Here is a 25,623-nt window from a genome sequence, read left to right on the forward strand (position 1 = left end):
TAAGTACAGGTGTTTTTGTTTTTGTTTTTGTTTCCTTTCAGTTTGTTTTGTTTTTGCCACTGGTCATAGAACCTTCGCAGACAAAATGTGTGGTACTCTAGGGCTTTTATCTCTTTACTCCTTACTTTTTGTAAGACAGATATCCTTATCGAAATACTTTACTTTCAGTGGTGGGTGAAGCTTTATGTTCTTAAAGAGTTTCTAGAGCTTTCGGTTGCAACTTTCATTAATGGCCATTTCTCTAAGTTAAGAGACTGGGTTCTAGTCCCACCTCTGCCACATGCTAACGGTTTAACCCACTAAGTATTTACCTTTCTTTGTGTCTACTTTTTCATATGCTAAGTGGATTAAATGATTCTTTGAGCTCTGAAATTGTTATAGTTCTTGATAACTTATTAACATGTAGCAACCTTACAGGAAATTAGGCAACACCAGCTTCAGTGGGAAGTACTGACCACATAATTGTGTGTCGTGTATGAAAACTGTCCATGTGCTGGTGGCTTCTTCTGAACTCCAAGAACAGGCTCTGGCACTGCCCTTGTCCAGGGATTGCCAGCTTGGGGTCTTCTCAGGGATTGATGGAGGCATTCCCAAGGGAGCCAGACTTGTCAGGAGGAGTTCAAAGGGAGCAAAAAAGATGAACTCCTCAAAGGAAGAATTTTTCTTTGCATTTCTTCTTAAGGTGGGAGTGTAAAATGGGAGTGGGTATGTTATACTTTTATAGCTCAGTAATTTTTTTTTTTTTTTAAGATGAGGCTACCAGGAGAGAACAGAGAAGAAAAGACACTCTGAAAAAGGAAAAGATGAGAGTTCTTATGGAAAAATGTGCCTTGGGAAAAATTACAATACTACAGCAAGGAGGTAGGGAAGAAAAACATCTCTCTCCTATATTTTTATCCAGGTAACATCTGGTTTCAGTGAACTGGAGGAAAACACAAGGAGACAGTGGCAGGGGAAGAGCAGCCTACCGTGGCTCTGTAAGTGTGTGGGATTTACATGCTGACACTAATTGTATTTTACTTCTCTAATCCTTCCTCCTTTTCCTCCTCCTCTCTGTTGTCCTGGGTGTCTGCAGCTGTGCTTGTCAGGTCCCCAAACTGGCTAGCTCCCCACCTCCTCAGGGCACAGGGCGTCTTCCTGATTTGCTGTGCCCTCGATGTGGAAGCTCAGGTCGGGGTGTAGTTACTGATGGTTATGATGATGACCATCGCAGTATTCTAACATAGCTTCAGGCAGGATTTCACAATGAAAACCACCCCACAAAACCCTGAATAGATCTAATGAAACTCTTTCCAAAATTCAAACGATCGTCACGTATTTTTGAATTAAAGAAAGGTGGACTTCTTTTAAAATTCTCTGTAGACTTCCCTTTCCTCTCTTTCCCATCCTATGATCCCTCAGACAAAAGAGGAAGCCCATAATAACTGGTTGCCTTTCCATAGGCGTGCTTTTCAAAGCACTTGGATATCTAGTGTCTTAAGATAACCCGGTGAGGTCGGTAGCATTTGTTTCTTTTCATTTTCCCTACAGGAGCAATTCGGCACAGAGATGCCGAATAATTTGCACAGGTTCCTATCTTAATAGACAATTCAGAGTAGTGCCAAGACTAGAACCAGGAGAAATGCCCACACAAGCATGCCAGGTACTACTTCTAAGCCTCCATCATTGACAGAAATGGTACCTGCAGGTACTGGCAGGAGCGTTCTTGCTGACACGACTCGGACTTCACCATGGCCTGGTCCATGTTCACCGAGGCCTTCTGGTAAACCTCCCGGGCCCGGCTCACGGTGAGCGTGGAGGACCAGGCGCTCTTCTTCAGCAGCGGGGTGTCCAGGCTGACCGGCAGGTTGGCGCAGGTGGAGCACTTGACGTCGTTGTTGCTCCGGGAGGCCTTCACCGCCTGCTCGCTGATGGTGTTGTAGGCCTCCAGGAAGTACTGTGAGGCCGAGCGGTCGGGGCACCTGCCCATGGTCATCACGCCCGAGGGGGCGTGGTAGATGCACATGTCACCATCCAGGTTGTCGTCCGAGCTCCACCAGCCCGGGGAGGTGCTGGGCCGGGCCTTGGGCTCCGCGCGCCGCTCCTTGCTCTTGCTGCGTTTGCCATAGCGCGCCGCCTGCGCCTCGTCAGGGCTGGCCTTGCCCCCGTTGACGCTGCCCTTGGACGGCCCCTCCAGGGAGTGCGACTTGGTGAAGAGCTTCTGGACCGAGTGCACCAGGTGGCGGATGCGGCCGGGGCTGTCGCTGCGGTGCTCCACGGCCGTGCGCTTGTACTGCAGGGTGTGATAGCCATCGCGGCTGAGTGGCAGCTGCCGCTCGAACTGGTCCAGCAGGTTGGCGGGGATGCGGTTCGCCTTGGTGGCCAGGGTGCGGGGCACCAGGGCACACTCGTCCTTCAGCTCTTGCTGCGAGGTGTAGTGCCTGCGGGGGAAGGTGCTGCTGGCCAGCGGGTCGCTGAAGGGGCCCACGCACTCAGCCTGGAAGGAGTTCCGCTGGGTGTAGTATGGGTGGTCTGCGGGGTGGTGCTCCACTGGGCTCAGCAGGTAGGGCTTGCGGTCGGAGTGGTGCGACAGCGAGTCACAGGCCGAGTCGCAGGTGACCCCGTGGTGATGGCTGCGGCTGCCTGATAGCCCTTTCATGGCGGACCGGAAGCAGCCGCCAGGGTCATGGACACCCGGAAGTCAGGCTCCAGACCCGTCTTGGGCAGGGATCTGGGGGAATGAAGAAAAGGGCAAAGTCGTTAACATTTCTCTTGGAAATTAGGTATTGCACTTTACAGGGTCTTGCTCTGTTGCCCAGGCTAGAGTGCACAGGCGCCATCTCTGCTTCCTGCAGCCTCCACATCCTGGGCTCAAGCCATCCTTCCACACCAGCCTCCCGAGTAGCTAGGACTACAGGCAGGCCCCACCACGCTTGGCTAATTTTTTGTAGAGAGGAGGTCTCACTATATTGCCCAGGCTTGGTCTCGAACTCCTGGGCTCAAGCTGTCCTCCCACTTTGGCCTCCCTTAAGTGCTGGGATTACAGGCGTGAGCAACCCTGCAGGCCTGGTATTGATCTCTTGAGGGTGCCATCTGCGACCGTGTTTTTTTGGCAGAACTTAATCAGTGTCCCCTAAAACAGCTTGAACGCATTATTGGAAGAGCTCTGTCACCTCTGTGGGGCAGGAAAGCTGACTCCAAAGCCTGTAGGGAGAGAAGGTGGAGGTAAAGCTAGAAAACTAGAAAAAGGAGGCCGGGCGCGGTGGCTCACGCCTGTAATCCCAGCACTTTGGGGGGCCAAGGAGGGCGGATCACCTGAGGTCAGGAGTTTGAGACCAGCCTGGCCAACATGGTGAAACCCTGTCTCTACTAAAAATACAAAAATTAGCTGGGCGTGGTGGTGGGTGCCTGTAATCCCAGCTATTCGGGAGGCTGAGGCAGGAGAATTGCTTGAACCTGGGAGGCGGAGCTTGCAGTGAGCAGAGATGGCACCACTGCACTCCAGCCTGGGGGACAGAGCCAGACTCCATCTCAGAAAAAAAAAAAAAAAAAAAAAAAGAAAAAGAAAACTAGGAAAAGAAAACTATATTTAAAAAAAAACCAAATTGTTTTTAAATTATTTGAAACAATAACTCTCCTTCCCTCTATGACCCCAATAACTGGATGTATCGTTCTCTTGCTTCTTGGGTCTTATTCTTTTTTTTCTTTTTCTTTTCTTTTTCTTTTTTTTGTGAGATGGAGTTTTTGCTCTGTTGCCCAGGCTGCAGTGCAATGGCACGATCTCGGCTCACTGCAACCTCTCTCTCCCGGGTTCAAGTGATTCCCCTGCCCCAGCCTTCAGAGTAGCTGGGATTACAGGTGCCTGCCACCATGGCTGGCTAATTTTTGTATTTATGAGGTTTCACCATGTTGGTCAGGCTAGTCTCTACATGTTAATTGTTAAAGATAGAACTGGAGAGGGGCTCAGTTCCTCTAGGAAACCTCTGCTGGCTCTCCTAGCAGAGAGAATTAGTTCCTCTCTTGTGTTTCCACCACATCTGAAACTCACTCCCCAGAACCTACAGAGTTGCTTGCTTCAGGATCTCTCTTCCGGCTTATGTTCCTTGCCTCCCAGTCTATTAGTCTCATTATGTACCCCGACCTAGTGTCGATCCAGCCATGTAAGCACACAGTAATAGCACTCCATAAGTGTGAATGAAAATGTGAGTTAAAAAACAAGATGAGCCGGGCGCGGTGGCTCACTCCTGTAATCCCAGCACTTTGGGAGGCCGAGGCAGGTGGATCACGAGGTCAGGAGATCGAGACCATCCTGGCTAACACGGTGAAACCCCGTCTCTTCTAAAAATACAAAAAATTAGCCAGGCATGGTGGCAGGCGCCTGTAGTCCCAGCTACTCGGGAGGCTGAGGCAGGAGAATGGCATAAACCCGGGAGGCGGAGCTTGCAGTGAGCCGAGATCGTGCCACTGCACTCCAGCCTGGGCAACAGAGCAAGACTCCGTCTGTCTCAGAACAAACAAACAAACACTAAGATGAATAATAGAAGCCAATGGCACCTCGTATCTTTAGGATATCTCTGTCTTCTGTTGCATGTTTTCCTTTTTGAATTCTGTAGGAACAACTTCACCACACAAACAATCCCCCCAGGTTACTCAGAGTGGGAAAAAGTAAAGATATGGCAAATAAATCATAAATGTAGAGAAAATCTGCCCAGGTATTTCTGTCAATTGAGGGTCAAGAGCTTTCTCTAAACAAACAGAGAACAAGTTAAGCTTGACTAGGCTAATTTGAGGATCATATATCTCTTCTTCCTAGTTTAAGGTTTCTGGTTGAGTATTTACGCACAAGACCAGGCGTGGTGGCTGACGCCTGTAATCCCAGCACTTTGGGAGGCCAAGGTTGGAGAATCGCTTGAACCCAGGAGTTTGAGACAAGCTGGGAAACATAGTGGGACCCAGTCTTTAAAAAAAAAAAAATTAGCTGGGAGTGGTGGTGCATGCCTGTAGTCCCAGCTACTCAAGTGGGGAGAGGATTGCTTGAGCCCAGGAGGTTGAGGTTGCAATGAGTTGTGAATGCACCGCTATACTTCAGCCTGGGTGACAGAATGAGACCCTGTCTCAAAAAAAAAAAAAAAAAGTTAATAGCCGATGGCAAAATGACCAAAGGATGGCCCTTGAAAAGTTCTTGAGGACATGAGTGAAGGACCCCAGACCTAATAGCTCAGCCTCAGGGAAAAGTCACTCATTCATATCCCATGTAGGGTATCTCAGTCCATTTCCAAGCTCGGATCTTCCGGAGTTTTAGTAACTAACAGAGGCTGCTATTCCATCAGGGCAGAGTATTTTCTCTGGACTCCAAAACAGTGTTAGAGTCAGTGCCTGACCAAGTTCCTTCTGACAGCCTGATTTTCTTTCAAGACTTCCTACAATACAAAAATTGCCATATAAAGAGTCATCTTGGAAAGCCAACATGACTCTCTAAAATATCACTAATGTCATTTCAGATATTCCTAGAGAGATAGATATGTGGTTTAATTAAGAAACAAAACATATAGTGCTGGGTGCGGTGGCTCACGCCTGTAATCCTAGCACTTTGGGGGGCCGAGGCAGGCGAATCACCTGAAGTCAGGAGTTCAAGACCAGTCTAGCCAACATGGTGAAACCTCGTCTCTACTAAAAATACAAAAATTAGCTGGGCATGGTGGCGGGAGCCTGTAATATCAGCTACTTGGGAGGCTGAGGCAGGAGAATTGCTTGAATCCAGGAGGCGGAGGTTGCGGCAAGCCGAGATCGTGCCACTGCACTCCAACCTGGGTGACAGAGCAAGATTCCATCTCAAAACAAACAAACAAACAAACAAAAACAAACAAACATATAAAACACCCACACTGGACCTCATGAAAAAAGATTTTTGAGAGGCCAGGTCTTGTCTATTCCATGAGACATACTGCATCTGGGAGCGCTCATGACAATGTTGGCAATCTCTATCCATGCTTTGTGAAGCTCCTTTCTTCCTCCTGTCTCCCAGTTTCTGGATTGACCATTCAGGAATAATGATGAAAGGTTTTAATCAGTACAGTCACTCAAAATTTGTTAGTCTACTAAATTGTGACGTCCTTAAGGGTAGGGACTATGTTTCACCCACCTAGTATTTGGCAAAGTGCTATCCTAGTGGATAGTGGGAATTAAGTTAGTAGAATATTTACTCAATTACTTAATGCATTAATGCAAAATTTCCCAAAGTGGTTCATAGTGTGATTCAAGTAGCATCTGTTTAATGAAAACATGACTGTGTGGCAAAGGCCAGGCTGGGCAAGGCCAAGGAAAGATGCCCAATAGTTGGGGGGACCATTCCATCAGGGTGACCATTCCAAAGACCAGTCTTCAGAGCAAGGCAGGAAGCAGACTGGTGAACACTCCTTCTGACCTATATACCTTTGACTTCTAACTCTGCAACTCACTGGGCAATATCGTACCTTCTGCCGTTCTACCTGTCTGGAAGTAAAGTCTGGGGAGTTTGCCTAACCTGCTGACTACAGGATGCTTAGACAGAGGGCAATCCGCCTGGAAGAGAGAGAGAAACTGACTCTTGAAGGGACAAAAAAGGAATTCAGGACTTATGATACCTGTGGATAAGGAAGAACCGATAGGTAAAAAACGTGTCCACTGGTGACAGACTAATGAAACAGAAAACCTTGGGATTGCTTTGTATGAAGTTATGGTCCTAAAAGTAGGCTGTGGCAAGGAAGAATGTAAGAGGGTTAAGTATGTGTTTTTAGCAAAACTGTGGCACAAACTAACTTAGATGCAAAAATCCATTGCATAAGAAAGTCTCTCTCTACAAATCAGGTTCCACTGAGGACATTTTTGCCTTTCAAATACAGACTTATAAAAAGCAAAAACAAGATTCTATTAGGATTATAGACACATACTAACTTTTATGATCACATATAGTAGAATCTCAATATATAAAATGATGTGGAATAATGTTTCGAACTTTCCTTCTCAAGCAGTTTGAATCTTGGGTAGATATTTTCTGCTAAATAAAATGTGAAACTGGCAAGAGCTGAAAACATGAATTATACATGTTTACTCCAAAATATACAAGATTATTTTAATCAGGTATTCAGTATTTAATTATCTTTAATATGTGAGCAACATTCCATGCAAGATGACGTTACCTGAGGACAAGCAGAGCAAACGAAGAGCTGTTTAAGGCCACTAATGATGATTTAAGTTAAATGATGTAACCAATGATAATTTCTGTAAATTAATCATACACAGTGTGTTTTTTACTAAAATTTAACTGGGCTATTTTCAGCACAGGACAAGCACCTCTATTTTCTTGGAGGGTAACAAATTGCATCCAGAATAAATAAGCTAACATTCCTCCTTCCTTACTTGTATTTGTAAAAGAGATATTGAGATCTTGATCTTTTTTCTCTATGATGTGGGAAAAGAAGGTCATAAAAAATGGCAATAAACATTTCTAAATGCTAAATCTATCTTTCTGGTCAAGGCCAAATAAACAACTTAATACCATGGCCCTTTCTGTAACAAATCTTACACTCTCTTCTATCGTCTTGTCATTTTAAAATGAAAATAGGTCAATTTGTGATTATAAAAGAAAACACATTCTGTGACTTCTTGGTGAGCAAGGGCAAATGATCTAAAATCCTAAGGCCATTGGCAATGGGTAGACAATTGCTGGTGGCACCTACTATGGAGGTCCTGCTCTTCCTTCTCTCATTCTTCATTTTCCTCTTGCCTTACTCTTAAACTCCCTTTCCAGCACATTTATCTCTGTCACTTCTTTTTTCCCCCCTCTCCTAATTAATGTTTATAAGTTGTATCCATGGGTACCACTTGCTGCCACCTGTGGTGTGACCAAGAGCATCATTAGAAAGCTTCCTTGCCTGCTGCTGCAAAGACGACCAAATGCCTACAGTGAATCCCTAGTGGTCAGAGGGCTTATGATATATTGTGAGAGCCATGTCATAAGCCTTTTGGCCACTAGGGATTCAATGTATGCACTTCATGACCTAGCCACAAAAAAACATGAAAAGAGATAAATAACAATTCTCATTCTTCTATGCATTCTTGAAAAAAGAGGATGCTAGCCTCTCAATTAGATTTTAAGTAATGATAACAATTGCTGGAAATAGAGAGGGAAATTGCCTTTCAGGCCTTGTTCTTTGAGCAAGGATGGGGACTGTGGTCAGCATGTCTTCATGAGGGTTTCTGTGACTACCAGTGATTAGCTCTAATTTCTTCTTGTTCGCTGTGACTTCAACATTCTGTTTTATTGTCCTTCTAAGTTCAATTTTACCATTGTACCATGTCTCCTGATTTTTTTGCTTGGATAATTTGTTGACTCTGTTTGCAGCCATGAGACAAGCTCAGAGTGTGAGATGCACAGTTTTTCCAGAGTTCCAACACCTGGAGCAGAATTATCACTGTCCAGATGATGACCAAAACAAGAATAATCCAGCACTGTAAAGGAAATTTTCAAGGTAGGTAATTTATTAGACCCAAGGAAAACACAAACACACCACATATTAGAAGATGCTGACAAAGGGGAAATAGTCTTGCAAAGCTGGCAAGTCCTTATTCCATTTTGATTTTTGTGCATGTCTTTATTTAGAGCTGCTTTTCTTGATTTTTCTTTACATGCAGAAATAAGAGCATACTGAAGGCCCTCCTCTGTCTTACCCCATGAGGATGGACAGGCAGGCAATTGCGACTTACTTTAGAAAGAAAGTGGTGGACCCTGCCCAGGAGAACAGGGGCACTGTGTTCTTGTTTGAGGAGACATCAGGAAGAGGAAATCTCCATGAATCTTTTCAGGGTCAAGCTGTCCTAAAAATTTCTTTTTTGAATTTTTGTGGGTACCTAGTCATGTATATATTTCTGGGGTACATGAGATATTTTGATACAGGCATATAATGTTTAATAATCACATCAAGGTAAATGGAATATCCATCACGTCAAATATTTATCCTTTTTGTTACAAACAATGCAATTATACTCTTATAGTTATTTTTAAAAGTGCGATTAGATTATTATTGACTATAGTCACCCTATTGTGCTATCAAATACTAGATCTTATCATTCATTCGGACTTGCATCTATTTTTTTTGTACCCATTAATCATCCTCACTCTCCCACCTTAGCAACACCTCTCAACTACCCTTCCCAGCCTCTAAATGATCATCCTTCTAACTCTCTATCTCTCAAGTCAACTTTTTGGCATCCCTCCACCTGCCAGAAGCTTGTCCATGCCAGGTTATAACATACCACTAAAGAGAAAGAAAAGATTTTCTTGTTGAAAAGTACAAGCAGCCCTGAACAATGACTACATTTTCCATTCTCCCTAGATGTGCCTGGGTGACTATGCTGGCCAATGGAACATAACTTGAAACGGCATGTGTGATTTCTGGAAAACATCTCTAAAGTGAGGGGCATACGCTTCTTTACCCCTTCTCTGGCTGGAACGCAGCTGTGGGGGCTGGGTGAATAGTGATCTTTCCCATGAGGTGGAAGTTACAGTTTGAGGATTAGAGAAACAAAAGATAAAGGTTCTGACCTACAGCGGAGTGCCATATCCGCCCTGGATGTGCACCTCTGCATTTTGTTTAGTCGAGAGAAAAATAGACCTTTATCTTGTTTCCTTATCTTATCAAGTAAAGGAAGGGCCTGCGCTGGCCCCATAGGAAGCCAGAGTCCCTTGCTATTGAACCACGTGACAACTTTAGCCAAGGGCTCTGCAGAGGGAGTCTGTGTGGAGAGAGGAGACAAAATAGCTCGCGGTTATTTTGCTTTCTGTAATTTTGTGTACTGAACCTTGCACCTGCACCTGTTCCTAAGTGAGACAGGTAGTCAGGGCAAAATCATGAGACCCTTGGTGAAGCTATGTCAGGATGCAGCACTGTATTTGCAGGTGGTGGTAATCCATTAGAGGAATTTAAACAAGACAGTGGCATGGTCACACTTGTGCTAAAGATTTCTCTAGCTGTAGTTAGAGAATACATGTGGGAGTGGGGAGGGGCAAAAAGATCTCAAAGAAGCAATGATTTCTTGCAAGAGCAGTTTATGAGAGAAGACTGGAAGAAAAGAAGGAGTATACCAAGAGAGGAGGACAATGTCCTGGCCAGCTACGGCAGTGTCTCCTGATTCAGACCTCCTTGCTCACACATGCATGCTCCAACCACAGTCTGAACACATACATGACATTTTTTTTTAGACAGAACAAAATTAATTTTCCCGTTTACTTATAATAAATCCCAATTCTACAGAGATTGAGAATGATGAATGCCCAACAGGCTGATGATTTTAAATTATTACTTTTTAAAATAAGAAAATGGTTCTTACTACTAAAAAATGAAACCATGGCACTTTTGCGTAAAAGTAAACAGAAAACGGCCGGGGGCAGTGGCTCATGCCTGTGATCCCAGCACTTTGGGAGGCCGAGGTGGGCGGATCATGAGGTCAGGTGATCGAGACCATCCTGGCTAACATGGTCAAACCCCGTCTCTACTAAAAATACAAAAAATTAGCCAGGCGTGGTGGCGGGCGCCTGTAGTCCCAGCTACTTGGGAGGCTGAGGCAGGAGAATGGCGTGAACCCGGGAGGCGGAGCTTGCAGTGAGCCGAGATCGCGCCACTGCACTGCAGCCTGGACAACAGAGTGAGACTCCATCTCAAAAAAAAAAAAAAAAAAAAAAAAAAAGAAGTAAACAGAAAACTTAACAGAGGTGAGAATGTGAGTTAACATTGTCCAAATGCCCACTGTTTGGATATTTTCTGACCTTTTGAAATTGTACCTGAAGATGATAACTCAATGTCATGTTCTTTCACTTTTCCAGGCTTCCTTACTTGAAGATTTTCATGCGTTGTGTGCTTAAAATTATACAAGTACTATTAGAACACCTTTGAATAAGCACATTCTGAAATATACCAATTATATTACTCAAAGTACAATGCTGAGCCATTTTATAGATGCAGAATGTATTTTGGCTTTTCATTAACATTAATTGCTGTCCTAATCATCTGCAGTTTGATTTCGTCTGTGAATACCTCTGTCAATCAGTCTGCTCCTACAAATAAATGCCTTCGGAGGCATTTCCTTTTCAAAAGATATGGTATTGTTAAAAAAAAAAAAACCAACGACTCAACTGAAATCTTCTCCAATTTGGTCACAGTAGGCAGCACAATTACAATCACCTGCATCTCCATACAAAGCTTTTAAAAAGTGGTTTCATAACAGTTTTTGAGAATAAAAAGGTGGAAGGTAGTGTTCTTTGAAAAATGATTAATAGGTCATTATTGATATTGGTGGTTGAGCAAAATGTCATAGGATTTAGGAGTGATTTTTATGTGAAGATAATCCAGGCAGTAAACGATAAAATCTCCTAATCTTATTTTGGACTGACAGAGTTCAAATATGCCTGTGCTGACTCTATGGGACCTCGGAGATATGCTTCCTATGGAATTGTTCTTATCTGGATTTTCAGGAGAGGGTTGGTTATCTCGGCTAAATGGACAGATGAATTCCCTTGGGAGCCAGCTAGGAGAATGTGGTTACCTTAACCAGCCATGGACAGTGCCCTTCAGGAGGTGCTGCAGCAGGGGGACAGCCTGTCTTATGCGGGTACAATTGATGGGGGTAGAATATTCACAGAGAAGAGAAAAACCCATCAGCGTTTACTCCAAAAAAAGTTGGGAAAAACTTGCAAACTACTGATGAATCTAGGAGAAAGAAGAAATGATGACAGAATAAACCTGTTTAATGGTACCTAAAGACAGCCGTGATGGAAGATGGAAAAACACAAAAACAATGACAATCAAAACAATATGACAATACAACTTGAAAAGGAGCAGTGGAAATAGCCTCTGATGAAACCAAGTTATTTTTGTCTAGATTGCTCATGACTAGCTGAGTAGTCTTGTGAACATGTTCTGGCATATTCTATACAACTTGTTTCACAGCCAGATTTTATATATACATACATGCATATATATATATATATTTACCTGAATCAAATTTTCTCTTATAAAGTCTCTTTCTTTAAAAGCTGTTGCTCTTCTTACCAAGTTTGCTGTACAAATCTACTTTCCTTAGTGCTGAGACCCCAAAAGTGCAGACATTAAGCCCTTTTGTGGTAGCTGTTCAGCTGACACCTGCTTTTGGGAATTTCTTCCCTACTCACAGCATCTCCTGGTGACCCTGTGGCCAGGACTGTTGAAGGTGATCACCACATTTTCTGAGCTTATGGAAGACTGGACTCAGGGGCATCCATGCAGAGCCTTCACTGAGCTAATGAGATGCTCACTTTGGGAAATCTAGGTGGGGATGTTCCTAGAATCACTGGACTCTGGTAAGCTTCAAGGTCAAGTAAAGGAAGGGCCCATGTCGGCCCCACTGGAAGCCAGAGTTGATGCTATTGAACTGTGGGGCAGCGTTAGCCATGGGCCCTACAGAGGGAGTGTGTGTGGAGGGAAGAGAGGAGCCAGTCCAGAGTCCATGGAACCCCAGCGAAAGAAACAGACAGAAGCTGCCTAATGGCCTTGTAGGTCTAGTCAGGCCTGGCTCCCTGCCCAGAGGGTGAGACTCTGTGGTCATCTGCAGCAGAACCAAGGCAGGCCCACAAAAGCTTACTCATCCAAGTAAAGGGGACCCTCCTGCCCAGTGGGTAACTGCAAGCATACAGAACCTCCACCACTGTGGTCTACATCCAAGTGGGGCCAATGTGAGTCAGTCTCTGAAGTGGCCCCAACAGAATTGGCTAAGTTATCCTCATACAGCTTTATACCCATTTAAGTATTTATTGGCTTGGATACATTATGCATGCTAATTCAGATTATACATTCACTTTTTGAAAACTATCATCAGTGCCTGCATGAGAGAGGGGTGGTCAGATACCATGTAAGAAGTGAGAAGGACAATCTCTGCAATCGGCTGTTTTTGAAACCTTACAGAGTATTTTTCCTTCAGTGAGTTTGGCCTGCCCTGACCTCTGCAATAGTTGCTGTTAATGGGAATTAGATTTGTAATTCCTCAAACACTGCCCCTTCCTTCTGCTTCTGTCTTCCCATCATTTTTAAAGTGCCTTATTCTGACTCTTCACACATCTAGCAATCTGACCCTTTTAACTTTTTTCATTTTGGAACTGGTTTTTATTGTCTTTTAGAATTCTACCCCCAGTCTTAAATTTTAAACAAACAAATCCACATCCAGTCAACTTTCTGAAATATTTTTTGCTGTGATAGAGAAGGAAGTATGATGGCATTCATTGTTTCTGGATTAAAGTATTTTTGTTTGTATTACATTTTATTTTTTTAGGGACAGGGTCTTGCTGTATCACCCAAGGTGGAGTGCATTGGCATAATCATGGCTCACTGCAGACTTGAACTCCTGGGCGCAAGCAATCCTCTCATCTCAGCCTCCCAAAGTGCTGGAATTACAGATGTGCACCACTGCGCCAGCTTATTTCTGGATTAAGTTTTGGCAGATAAGAGTGTTGGCCTGTAAGTTATCAGCCAAATAGTCTTTGACTGTACTGAGCATGAAGTCAAATCAAATCAATACATATGACTTTAATTCAACAACTATTTATTGAATAGCTATTATTACATGCAGTGCACTGGGCACTGTAGCAAGAATTGAAGATTCTTAACATTACACCTTCAACTTCCTGTCTCATAAGTTTTCTTGTTCTCTTGCTCCCACTTTTCCTGCCCTCTGATGGTTCTCATGACAGTTTATTCCATACACTGTTTCCTCAGCTCTGCCCTCTTCTCCCATTCCATCCATCCCTAGTGGTCTTCACTTCCTCCCTTGCCAGCCTAGGAGAGACAGCAGGTCAAACTTTTTTTGTTAGCCCCCTCAGGTCCCTTGCTCTATGATCCTTCTACCTCACTCACTGTGGACAATATACATCAAGGACTGATGCTACTGTCCTTCTGTCTTTCCACACAGAGGCTGCTGAGTGTCGCTGGGGATGGGACTGGTGCCATGGCAAATTCCCGGTGTCCACTCTTGGCTCTACTCCCAAAGCTGATTAGGAATAGTATCATGGGTCTCCTGGTTCTGTTCCAGCTGCCCTAAGCCCTCAAGTCTACTCCTTATTTCTCATCTAGACTTGGTTGGGAAAACAAAGTAGTAACCAATAAATATCAAGTGAATAAAAATGGAATGGTCTCTGCCTCTAGGAATCATAACTATATACCAGGCACGTGTTGTCCACTTTAAATGCATGATCTCATTTTAATCTCAAACAACCCAATATGGTACGGACTAGTCTCTGGATAAGAAAACAGACTTTTAAAGAGGAAATAACTTGTCTGAGATAATATATTTAGTAATTTTTAAATTTTTTTTTAGAGAGAAGATCTCACTCTGATGCCCAGGATTATAGCTCACTGTAACCTGGAACTCGTGGGCTTAAGGAATCCTCCTGCACAGCTAGGACTACAGGAATGTGCCACCATGCCTGGACAATTTTTTTCATTTTTTTGTAGAGATGGGGGGTCTCACTATGCTGCCCAGGCTGGTCTCGAGCTCCTGGCCTCAAGCAGTTCTCCTATTTCAACCTCCCAAGGTGCTGGGATCACCTGCATGAGCCACCGTATCCAGCCATTGTTACTAAATTTTGAACACAGCATGTTCTTAATCACTAGGCCATAATGACTGTTCTTATCACCTCTAAAACACACACACACACACACACACACACACACACACACACACACACACACACACAGTCTTTCATACTGCTAAGAGTATTATTTGTAATATGATCTTTGTTACCTGATTATGCCATTCTTTCACTTTAAATTCTTCTCAGACCCTCTACACTTTTTCAATATAATCTAAGCCTTTGAATGTGACTCAAGGTGGGAGGCTCCCTGACCCGGCGTCCATCTGCCAGACAGCCCTGTCTCCCCACCCCATACCCCACACAGCTCAGCTCCAGTGACACTGGGCTCCTTGTATTCTTCCCCACATGCCACATTCCCCATTGACTCTGTGTTTCATGCTCTCTAAAATACTCACTTCCATTCTCTATACAAATTCTTATCCCTTCTTGAAGAGTAGGTACAAATATAGCCTCCTTCTTAAAATATTCCCTGACTAAAGGAATCATGGAGATGATAGGCTTCATCTAATTTACGATCTAGTTGAGAAAATAAATCACATAAACGTGAACAATCAGCAAACAATACAAGTCAGAATCTAATCAAGTGCTAGATTGTATGGTACATGTCGCATATATAATGCACCAAGTGAAAGCCTTTGGAAAAAAGAAGTCTGGAAGATGCAAGAGTTAAGGAGTGTGAAAACATCTCAATTTAGGAGGTGTAGCTGGCTCAGAGCAGCACATTCTTCAAAGACAAGGTTTTTAGGACAGTGTGCAATTCCTGTTCCATATTTTGTTCAAATCTAACCACTTTCTCCTCTGGCTTTTTATATATATAAAGAATTATAAATATATATAAATATATATATTTATATATATAATTTTTTATAGGTTTAGGGGATACAAGTGCAGTTTTGTTACATTGTGTAGAAGTAAAGGCTGGGCTTTTAGTGTAGCCATCCCCCAAAAAGTGTACATTGTACCTATTAAGTAATTTCTCATCCCTCACCACCCTCCCATGCTTCTGAGTCTCCAATGTCTATTATTCCATTCTTTATGTCCACGTGTACACATTATTTATCTCCTAAGGGAGAACATGTGGTATTTAACTTTCTTTTTCTGAGTTATTTCACTTAAGATAATGGCCTCCAGATCCATCTATGTTGCTGCAAAAGACATGGCTTCACTCATTTTTATGGCTAAGCAGTATGCCATGGTGTATATATACCACATTTAAAAATGCAATCATTGGCCGGGTGTGGTGGCTCATGCCTGTAATTCCAGCGCTTTGGGAGGCTGAGGCGGGTGGATCACCTGAGGTCAGGAGTTCGAGACCAGCCTGGCCAACATGGTGAAATCCCCTTTCTACTAAAAAAATACAAAAATTAGCTGGGCCTGGTGATGGGTGCTTGTAATTCCAGCTACTCAGGAGGCTGAGGTAGGAGAATCGCTTGAACCTGGGAGGTGGAGGTTGCAGTGAGCCGAGATTGCACCACTGCACTCCAGCCTGGGCGACAAGAGCAAAACTCAATCTCAAAATAATAATAATAATAATAATAATAATAATAATAATAATAAGAACAATTCAATCATCTATTGGTGAACACAGGTTGACTCCATGACTTTGCAATTCTGAATAGTGCTGCAATAAACATGAGTGCAGGTATCTTTTTCTTTAGGTAGACACCCAGTAGTGGGATTGCTGGATCAAATGGTAGTTCTACTTTTAGTACTTTGAGAACTCTCCATATGTTTTTCATAGAGGTTATACTAATTTACATTCCCACCAAAAGTGTATAGACATTTTCTCATTTCTCCATATCCTTGCCAACGTCTGTTATTTTTTGATTTTTTAATGATAGCCATTTTGACTGGTGTAAGATGGTATCTCCTTGTGGTTTTAATTTGCATTTTTCTGATGATTAGTGATGTTGAGCATTCTTTCATATGTTTATTGGCTACTTATATGTCTTCTTTTGAAAAATATCTGTTCATGTCCTTTGCTCACTCTTTAATGGGGTTATTTGGTTTCTGAAATTGTTGAGTTGCTTGAGTTCCTTGTATATTCTGGTTATTAGTCCTTTGTCAGTTGCATAATTTGCAAATATTTCCTCCCATTCTGTAAGTGGTCTGAGTATTTCTTTTGCTGTACAGAAGCTTTTTAATTTAATTGAAATCCCATTTGTTTATTTTTTGTTTTTGTTGCATTTATGTCTTTGAGGTCTTAGTCATGAATTCTTTGCCTAGGCCAACATCCAGAAGTTTTTCTTAGATTTTCTTCTAGAATTTTTATTCTCTCAGGTCTAACATGTAAGCCTTTAAGCCATCTTGAGTTAATTTTTGTATACAGTGAGAAATAGGGGTCTAGTTTTCATTCTGCACATGACTATCCAATTTTCTTAGCACCATTTATGGAATAGGGTATCCTTTCCCCAGTGTATGTTTTTGTTTACTTTGTCAAAGATCAGTTGTTTCTGGGTTTTGTTTTTTGTTCCATTGATCTATTTTTATGCTAGTATCTTGCTATTTTGGTTACTATAGCCTTGTAGTATAATTTGAAGTCGGGTAATATGATGCCTGTAGCTTTGTTCTTTTTGCTTAGTATTGCTTTGGCAGTTTAGGCTCTTTTTTGATTCTGTATGAATTTTCGGATTAAAAATATGGAATGCTTCATGAATTTGCATGTCATCCTTGTGCAGGGGCCATGCTAATCTTCTCTGTGTCATTCCCAGTTTAGCATATGTGTTGCTGAAGTGAGTACTCCTCTTACTTTTTCAAGGCCTTCCATTTCTACCTCTGATATGATCTTTGATGATACTATTCAGATGTTGGCCAGATTGTCTGAGAGCTACAGAGTTGACCTCCTTGTTTGTCCCTTTCAACTGCTCTTAGATGTTAAGCCACTAGCTTATGTAAGGGAACTATACGAAATAGGCATTTATACTTGCTATGGTTTTTACTGTCGAGATGTTGCCTGTCTCAGCAAAGAGTGCAGTGCCATGTGGTAAATTCCTCTCAGGTGTCAGTATTAACAAAACTGTGTGCTTAACAGCTGCCTTTAATCGTGCAGGTGCTATTACTCTTGTAAGATGAGTATGTTTCCACTTCGAGCAGTGCGTGCTCCACCAGCTTGAATACCAGGAAGGTTATCAGGAAAAGCTATGGCAAAATCATGATGGTTTTAGTACTTTTCCATTTTTATCCTACTATCATTGTATTTCCCTTGGATGTTTATTACACACACACACACACACACACACACACACACACACACACATCATCATCATCATCATCATCATCTCATAAACCACTTTAATCTCTCGTGGAAACAAATTGTAGTAGAGGTAGCAAATCTACATCCAGATACCTCTGTATTATGTAAAATATGTCAATATGCTTTTTCCCTCACTTGATATCATCCATTGACTGTGACAATGGTTCTCAAACTCGAGTTTGCATCAGAATCAGCTGGATGTCCCAACGCATAGATGCATTCGATAAATGTTAGCCAAATAAATACATGAATGGGAATTTTCCTGCTCGGTAAACAAGATATTTTCATGGGAAAAGTGTGACAATTTATAAGTAAAATGACTATTTTTGTACTGGGAATAACGCATTGTTGGTGCCAGCACCGTACAGAGCAGAGCCACTGTGCTGATGGGGAAGTATTGGACCAGCAGTTAATGAAGACTGCTAAAGCCTGCTTTGCTGTTTCATCCGCAGCACACAGGCCGCATCTGTCCTGGGGCTCATTTGTCCTTCTTCAACCTCCTCCACAGTTAGAGGCTCCTGAACTACAATGGCAACGATTGAAGAAACTGTTGTTGAAAAGTCCACGCCAAATTCTCGGTATGTCACTGAAGACAAGGACATTTTGGGTAGAACCAGGCTGCTAATCCACTCTTGCCAGGAGGGAAGATTTTTTCTCTTTCTGTAGTGAGCAACAACGCCACTCGGTAAGCTACAGAATTATCTAACTAGTATTTTTGAATCTAGAAAAAATACAAGCTTTGCTTTATTAATGGGCTTATTACATGTATGTGCTGAAAACTTGATATATGCTCCTTCTCATGCTTGCAAGTGTGACATGGTTTCTTCCCTTTTCACAGATGAAGAAACTGAGGTTCATGGAAGTTAAATAACTTGCCCACAGGGCACAACTAGTAGGCAGCTAAGCTAGGACTTCAACTGAGGTCTGTAAGACTTAAAGCACATGCTATTCCTGCTCCTCAATAGCTTTCCTGCTAAGCACCAAGAGACGCTAGGCTGCCAGGAACATCACAGCAGAGACCACCGTCAATCAATGCATCTCCACCGTCTTTTAGACATTCTTTTGAAGAAAGATTTAGCTGCTAAAAGAAAAGATGAATATACAAAAAGGATAATACTACCATATTTCATCATATTGTCTCGTTTTAATACAAGAAGACTCATCCAGCTTAAACATTTGATGTTTAAGAAGCTAACCAGCAAGCTGCCCTCTGGGAATGCATACCATCAGGTATGGATCAGTGGCCCTGAGATCATGTTCATAACTCAGCAGCTTTGTACAAGCTGTCAAGACTCAGAACATGGTACCCCAAAGTATGGCACCTTGGTGTGCTGAGTACTGTGGACTGAAGGACATCGGAAATGTCTCAGAAGCTATGTCTCTTTGACCTTCTCCCAGCCTCCTGTCTCCTACCTGTCTTTCTCCCTTGAAGTGAGTCATGGCAACCATAATTCCTCTTTCCCAAGGTGTGTCACAGAAACTAGAACCCCTCTCCTCCAAGGGAAGCCGTGAAACCTAGAAAGGTCACTCTCTGCCTTCCCCCTTCTCCCTTGAAGACCCTCATTCCAGAGGGGCCCTGCCCCATATTCAGGAGGGTTACACAAAGAGGTTAAGAAGAATTTGAACATTCAGGCCTTGCTGGGTTCCCTGCTCAGTCTATCAGCATTAGATCACACCCTTTAGTCCATCACATTTCTACACCGCTGTCCATTCTTCATCAAACCGAAGAATAAAAAAAGTTTTCCCTGGGTCTTTGGATCTTCATTTCTGAGGAGTCCCATGTTACATAAAACTTTGATTACCTTCATTATGCTTTTCTCTTGTTAACCTGTCTTTTGTTATAGGAGTGACCGTTATGATAGGTGAGGAAAGATATCACACATTTCTGCCCCTACAAAGCCAAAAATGTTGGCCGAGGAATGCTGCTAAGCTCAAGGCCGTAGCTACTCACAAGCTTTTCTCTCCACTACCAAGACCTGTAGATACAATGTGAATAATTTTAACCTTGATATAGAAGGGAGCCAATGCAGAAAATAACTTCTCAGTTATCCACAAAAGCTAGTAAAAGAGCTAACATTCATGTATTTTTTTTCCCAACAAATATTTATTCAACATCTACTAAATGACAGGTACAGTTCTAGGAACAGGGGTCCAGTAATGAACACAATTCCAAAAGTCCATGGCTTCATGACAATTATATTCTTGTGTTGGGAGACAGACAATAAACAAATATATTGTGTATAAAATGTTGATGATGGTATCATGTCTTAGGTGATGACATATTAACTGCCTTCTGTAAGCAATCTTTTATAAACTCTTTGCTGACTTGGAGGCACTGAAAGTTTTACAAAAACATTGGCTTATTTATCAAAGAGGAAGTATAGTAAAATTTGCACTCATTACAGGTTGAGTACCCCTTATCCAAAATGCCTGGGACCCAGAAGTGTTTCGAATTTCTGATTTTTTTTTTTTTTTTTTTTTTTTTTTGAGACGGAGTCTCGCTCTGTCGCCCAGGCCGGACTGCGGACTGCAGTGGCGCAATCTCGGCTCACTGCAAGCTCCGCTTCCCGGGTTCACGCCATTCTCCTGCCTCAGCCTCCCGAGTAGCTGGGACTACAGGCGCCCGCCACCGCGCCCGGCTAATTTTTTGTATTTTTAGTAGAGACGGGGTTTCACCTTGTTAGCCAGGATGGTCTCGATCTCCTGACCTCGTGATCCGCCCGCCTTGGCCTCCCAAAGTGCTGGGATTACAGGCGTGAGCCACTGCGCCCGGCCGAATTTCTGATTTTTTTCATGTTTTGGAACATTTGCAATTTACTTTATTTACTGGTTGAGCATCCCAAATCTGAAATGCCAAAATCCAAAATGCTCCAATGAGAATTTTCTTTGAGTTTCATGTTGGTGCTCAAAAAGCTTTGGATTCTACAGCATTTTTGATTTTGGATTTTTGTATTTGAGATGCTTGACCAGCAATATGTTCCAGAAAATATTAGAAAAATGGATATGTCTCTGTGGTAAACCCTGTCCTAGGCATCTTATATGTATTATCCCACTTAATTATCACAGCAGCCCTATGAAGCAGGTACTCTTATTATCTTCATTTCCCAGAGGAGGAAAATGAGGTATGGGAAAGTTAAATAATTTACTTGTAGTTAATCCAGGAAGTCAGACTCCAGAGCTCACAGTTTAGGCACCACTACACTGTCAATGACAAATGTTACCTTTTGTCACTCAACACAGTGATGGGATGTTACCAAGGTTGCAGCATATGGCTGCATAAATTGCATACAGCACAGCTGGGGATGGGGGTGGCAAGCTGACCTTGTGTGGTGCAGCAAATCTGTTGCTTTGCTATCACTGATGTGCAGTTAGGCAATGTCCTTTAACTTGAATATACCTTAACATAAGCATAATAAGAAGACACCAGAGAAAAATCACGCTTTCCAACATGAACTAGAAATAAAGTTATTCATCTATTATTATTATTATTCTCCAATAAGACAATAATTGAAACCATGGAAGCCATATATATTCCAGAGACATGTACATAGGCTGACTACATACATCATCTACACTTTAGATAGGCCATTTAAAGTAAAGTAAAGTAAAGTAAAGGATTCTAGCAATTTGGAGGAAATGATGAACTTCTCCATACAAAATGCTCACACCTCTCAGCTTAACCTGCAGCTTTCAATTTCCGTATGGCCACTTCTCACCATCTGCTTATGTTGGCACAGGGTGGGAGGCAATTCACTTCATTCAGGGAGGCATCCTACACTACACTTATGAGCAAAGACCTGCAAGTCAAGTGAAAGAAATAAGGAGGGGGAAATGAGCCCACAATGAACACTTCACTGGGTGGCATCCTATGGGCAGTCTGCATTGACAGGTGTTTGTCTAGCAACCTCCGCCCATGGCAGCTTTTCCTCTGACTGCTGAAGGGGTTTGCTTCCTTTACCCAAATCTGTGTCAGGAAAAAACTCCACTGAAGTATGGTTATAAGTTTCATCTCCCAGACAAATAAACAAGCAGCCTATATTCCAGCAGACCAGATCTGAGTATGATCAACTGGCGCTGGCAAGAGTGCCTGTGGCCAGAATGAGTGGTACCTGTGTAAGTCAGAGAAGTGGCTTTGGGCAACAGCAAGAATGTTAAAAGGATGTTGCTTGCAGGAAAATCATTAACTTCATATTTGAGGAAACCTTTTGGATGTTTACTTAGGGAATGAGATTCAAAATTCGGGCTGCTATTGCTTTCTTATTCTCCTTACACTCTGTATCCAGGTTTGGTCCAATTTCAGAAAATGTCCTTCCCATTGCTTTGAATTTCTGTCTAGTTTCCTTCTACCATAGCATCTTTAACCAGAAGGAAGCCATCTTCTCTTACTATCCCACTTTCCGCCAGTGTGAGCTTAGAAATGTATTGTTCTTTTTCTCCCTCTCCCTCTGTTTTTCTCCTCTGGGGAAGCTTGGTAGGAAAAATCAGCGCTATAAATTGCAAGTTTTCCTGCTAAGATCCTTGGCGTATAGCTGGCTGCTACTTCACCTTTTTAAAAACATGATCAACATCCTGTGTCCTGTTAGAATTAGGTAACTTAAACTTTTTATCAAGGTTGATTTTTGTTTAGACCCTGGGAATGGCTCTGCATCATGGCATATATGCAAAAACAAAAAACAAAAAACAAAACCAAAAACAAACAAACAAAAAATCCTGAAGAAATAAATTGTGGAGACAAATGTTTATAAGTACAAATATGAACTCTGCAAAAAGGATTGGAATCCAGTGGCAGGTAGATAAGCTGTAAGACTGGACCCATAAGTAATGGAGGACTGTACCGAAGAAATGTACTCTGTACCCCAAAGCTTATAAAATAATTGAACAGGGGATGTGGAAAGGGAATCTGATATTGGCAACACAGCGTGTCTCTCCTGTGAGTTACTGGAAGTTTGAGGTAACTGATGACAATTCTGTCTGCCCTGATACCGACATTGTTGTTTCTCATCAGCTCCCTCCTCAGGACCCCCAACTATCTCTCCACTTTCCAGCACAGATGTCTGTATTTCTGGGCACCAGGTCCTTTGGAAATAACACTTTAGCACCTTTTAAACATTTGCTTCACTACTGAGTAGTTATTTGCACATTATTCTGTCTTCCCTCCTAACGAGAATTCTTTAACAGTCAGACTTGTTTGCTCAGCAACTACCCCAATGCCAGGCACAGAGTGAGCGCTCAGTAAACCCTGAATGAATAAAACAAAAGGAGTGGAAGAAAGCCTATCAGCTTGTGGGCTCATTTTTGTATCTCATAAATAAATGGATACTCCAAGACTTGTAAAAGAGGAACATTATGCCCTTGGGATGCAGGAGGAATCACACATGATTGTGTTAGATTAGATTGGGTTGGTTAGAGGAAAAAAAGAATTTGGCCTCAGAAAGCTATTTTCTTCAATGTGGGAGTTTGATGTAACAGAATCCCGCCTTTGGATATTCCTTATTTGGTTTCGGGTACTGATAACAAAAAGGACAAGGAGAAAGATATTTAGAAATGGTTTAAAAGATATTCTGTCCAAGCCACCTCGCCTCTCCCATCTCCCCCTCGACCTCGTTATTTTCCGTCCTCCAGGATGATCTTTCTAACTTCCAAATCTGATCATGTCCCTTCCCTGCACAAAACGGTCTCTATTCCCTTCAAAATGACGACTAGGACCCTTGCGCAGCTTGACAGCCCCTCGTGATCTTGCTGTGAACGCCCTCCACCCTCATCCCTACTCCCTTCTGCTGCTCCCTCAAACCTGGGCTGCAACCACCAAACGACTTGAAGTTTTCCTTACCCACCCTGGCTCCCTGTTCTTTACGACTTTGAGGATGGTGCTTACGTCCTCCACTTAAGCAATGCCCTTCCCTGCCTACACAGCTCCTACTCATCCTTCAAAATTTAACTGCTCCTCTGCCCACCATCTCTCATTCACTTTTCACACTGAGCTCTGTCCAAATCTAGTAAGGCTCTGCAATTGTCTCCTACACTCATTTCCTTCCTTCTCATCCTCTCTTCTCCCACTGTGGGGTGACCACGGTTACCCGTAAGGACAATACACTTTCTGCTTTACACCCCGTCCACTGCTTGTCAATAACAAGCTTTATAATCTCCCAATACTATAAAAGCTGAACCACATGAAGGAACCCTGGAGCTGGTTCCCTAGGGATGTTGGCCACCATGCTGCTGGCTGTGAGACATGTGATTGCTCACCTATGTCAGCACATAGATATGGTGAGGGAGAAGGATCTGACACCTGACCCACAGTCCCCTACATCCTCATGGGTGGCAATATTTTACCACCTACATGGGGTATTTTCACTTTACTTTAACATTTCTGCTTAGTCTAAGAAATCTCCCCCTCCTTAATTGTGTTTTTCAGAAAACCAAATGGGTTATTACATTAGTTCTGAGCAATGAGAGGGAAGCAATCCATACATATGGAGTGGCAATTAAATTAAACCCTAGAATTAGGATATAATTCCCAAGTGAAAATGAGCTGAAGGAGAAGTCTAATAGGAATGCCTCAACCTCTCAGTTGGCCAACAGACCCCTAAGGTGTCCGTGGTACTCTGAGATTTTTCTTCTCACACTTTGCAACATTCATTTGTGGGCTTGTCTTTCCGCTCCACCAAGCTCTCAGAGAATAAAGTGAAGTGCATGTCTGCCTTCCCACTTCCCAGCACAGTAGCTGCCTAGAGCACAGAACCTCAATACCAGCATTGAATTTCACAGTGAGAAAGTTATTTCCATTTCCATTCTCTTTTAATCCTTTTAGTTCAGGCAGAGCAGAAAAAATTGATTGTGTATTTTGAACACCCCTTAACATTTGTTTTTCCTCCCTCTTAAGCAGGCTTCAGTGGGCACAGTATCTACCTGGAAATGAGTAACTTGCTTTGTTTTCCTTGTTCTTTTTTTAAGGTTAATTTTATCCCAAATGGCAAGGCAAATGGAAGTAATATCGAGTTGCTTTTAACAAATGTATTCAAATAAAACTAAGTCTATTTGTGGAAAACTATTAAGTTAAAATACAACATCAGTAGAAATGGACCTGGCCAAAATCATGATGATGCTATATAAAGGATGAGTGTTTAGAAAACACTGGCATACAGTAGGTGCTCAATAAATGCTCATTTGATGGATAAATGAATCTCTCTTCCATCTTCTCTCTTCTTTCAATTTCTATAAGTTTCACAATAGATCTGGCTTGGCCTCAAATTTGTATTACTGTACTTGTCTCATATTCTGAGCTATAGTACTGTATCTGCTTTCTGCTCGGCCCCCACCGTGCATTAGCATGACCTACTCATAAATGTGCCATGTTTCTTTTAGTTTAGCTTTAAAGACTAAAACTAAAAGACATTTTAGTTTTAGTCAGACATTCAAAGTCCTCCAGAAGCTGGCTCCAATCTATCTTTCCATGTGTATCAGCCCAAGTTCTCATATATAAACTATGCATATATTTGTGATTTCTAGACTGGACACTAGGGAGAGTCTTCCTGGCCTTGAGCCTTCCTCTCAGTGGGAAGCCCTCAGAATCCTACAGACCTTTTAAGACTCATTCAAATCCTGCCTCCATGAAACCTTCGCTGAGAGTGATCAGCTCTCTTAATTCCAGCTGAGAGTGATCTGCCTCTCTTCTGAGACCCAGAAGCACTTTGCCTGTGAGGAAACATTCACCATGTGTACACTGTGTTTAAGA

At 42.6% G+C, this 25,623-nt stretch overlaps 1 protein-coding gene, 2 long non-coding RNA genes, 1 other non-coding gene and 1 pseudogene across 14 annotated transcripts in view; 3 read left to right on the plus strand and 2 right to left on the minus strand.

Moving 5' to 3' along the window:
* DLGAP1 (DLG associated protein 1) overlaps positions 1–25,623 on the minus strand; it is a 959,276-nt gene that overhangs the window by 381,399 nt on the left and 552,254 nt on the right. For all 11 annotated transcript variants that reach the window (NM_001398527.1, NM_001398526.1, NM_004746.4 and 8 more), the window contains one exon: positions 1,682–2,710. In NM_001398527.1, the coding sequence (NP_001385456.1) occupies positions 1,682–2,638 (957 nt within the window). In that variant the 5' untranslated portion in view covers positions 2,639–2,710. The remainder of the gene's footprint in view (positions 1–1,681; positions 2,711–25,623) is intronic.
* Positions 395–9,867, plus strand: LOC124904238 (uncharacterized). Its single transcript, XR_007066270.1, has 4 exons — positions 395–682; positions 902–977; positions 8,363–8,489; positions 9,354–9,867. It is a non-coding gene; the product is annotated as an uncharacterized LOC124904238 (long non-coding RNA).
* On the plus strand, positions 750–19,639 carry DLGAP1-AS3 (DLGAP1 antisense RNA 3). The gene is made up of 3 exons (NR_038895.1): positions 750–861; positions 18,341–18,573; positions 18,727–19,639. It is a non-coding gene; the product is annotated as a DLGAP1 antisense RNA 3 (long non-coding RNA).
* Positions 7,923–8,002, plus strand: MIR6718 (microRNA 6718). The gene has a single exon (NR_106776.1). It is a non-coding gene; the product is annotated as a microRNA 6718 (primary transcript).
* RNU6-831P (RNA, U6 small nuclear 831, pseudogene) lies at positions 17,269–17,375 on the minus strand (annotated as a pseudogene).

This window comes from Homo sapiens, chromosome 18 (genome assembly GCF_000001405.40).
Source record: "Homo sapiens chromosome 18, GRCh38.p14 Primary Assembly".
Lineage (NCBI taxonomy): Eukaryota > Metazoa > Chordata > Mammalia > Primates > Hominidae > Homo > Homo sapiens.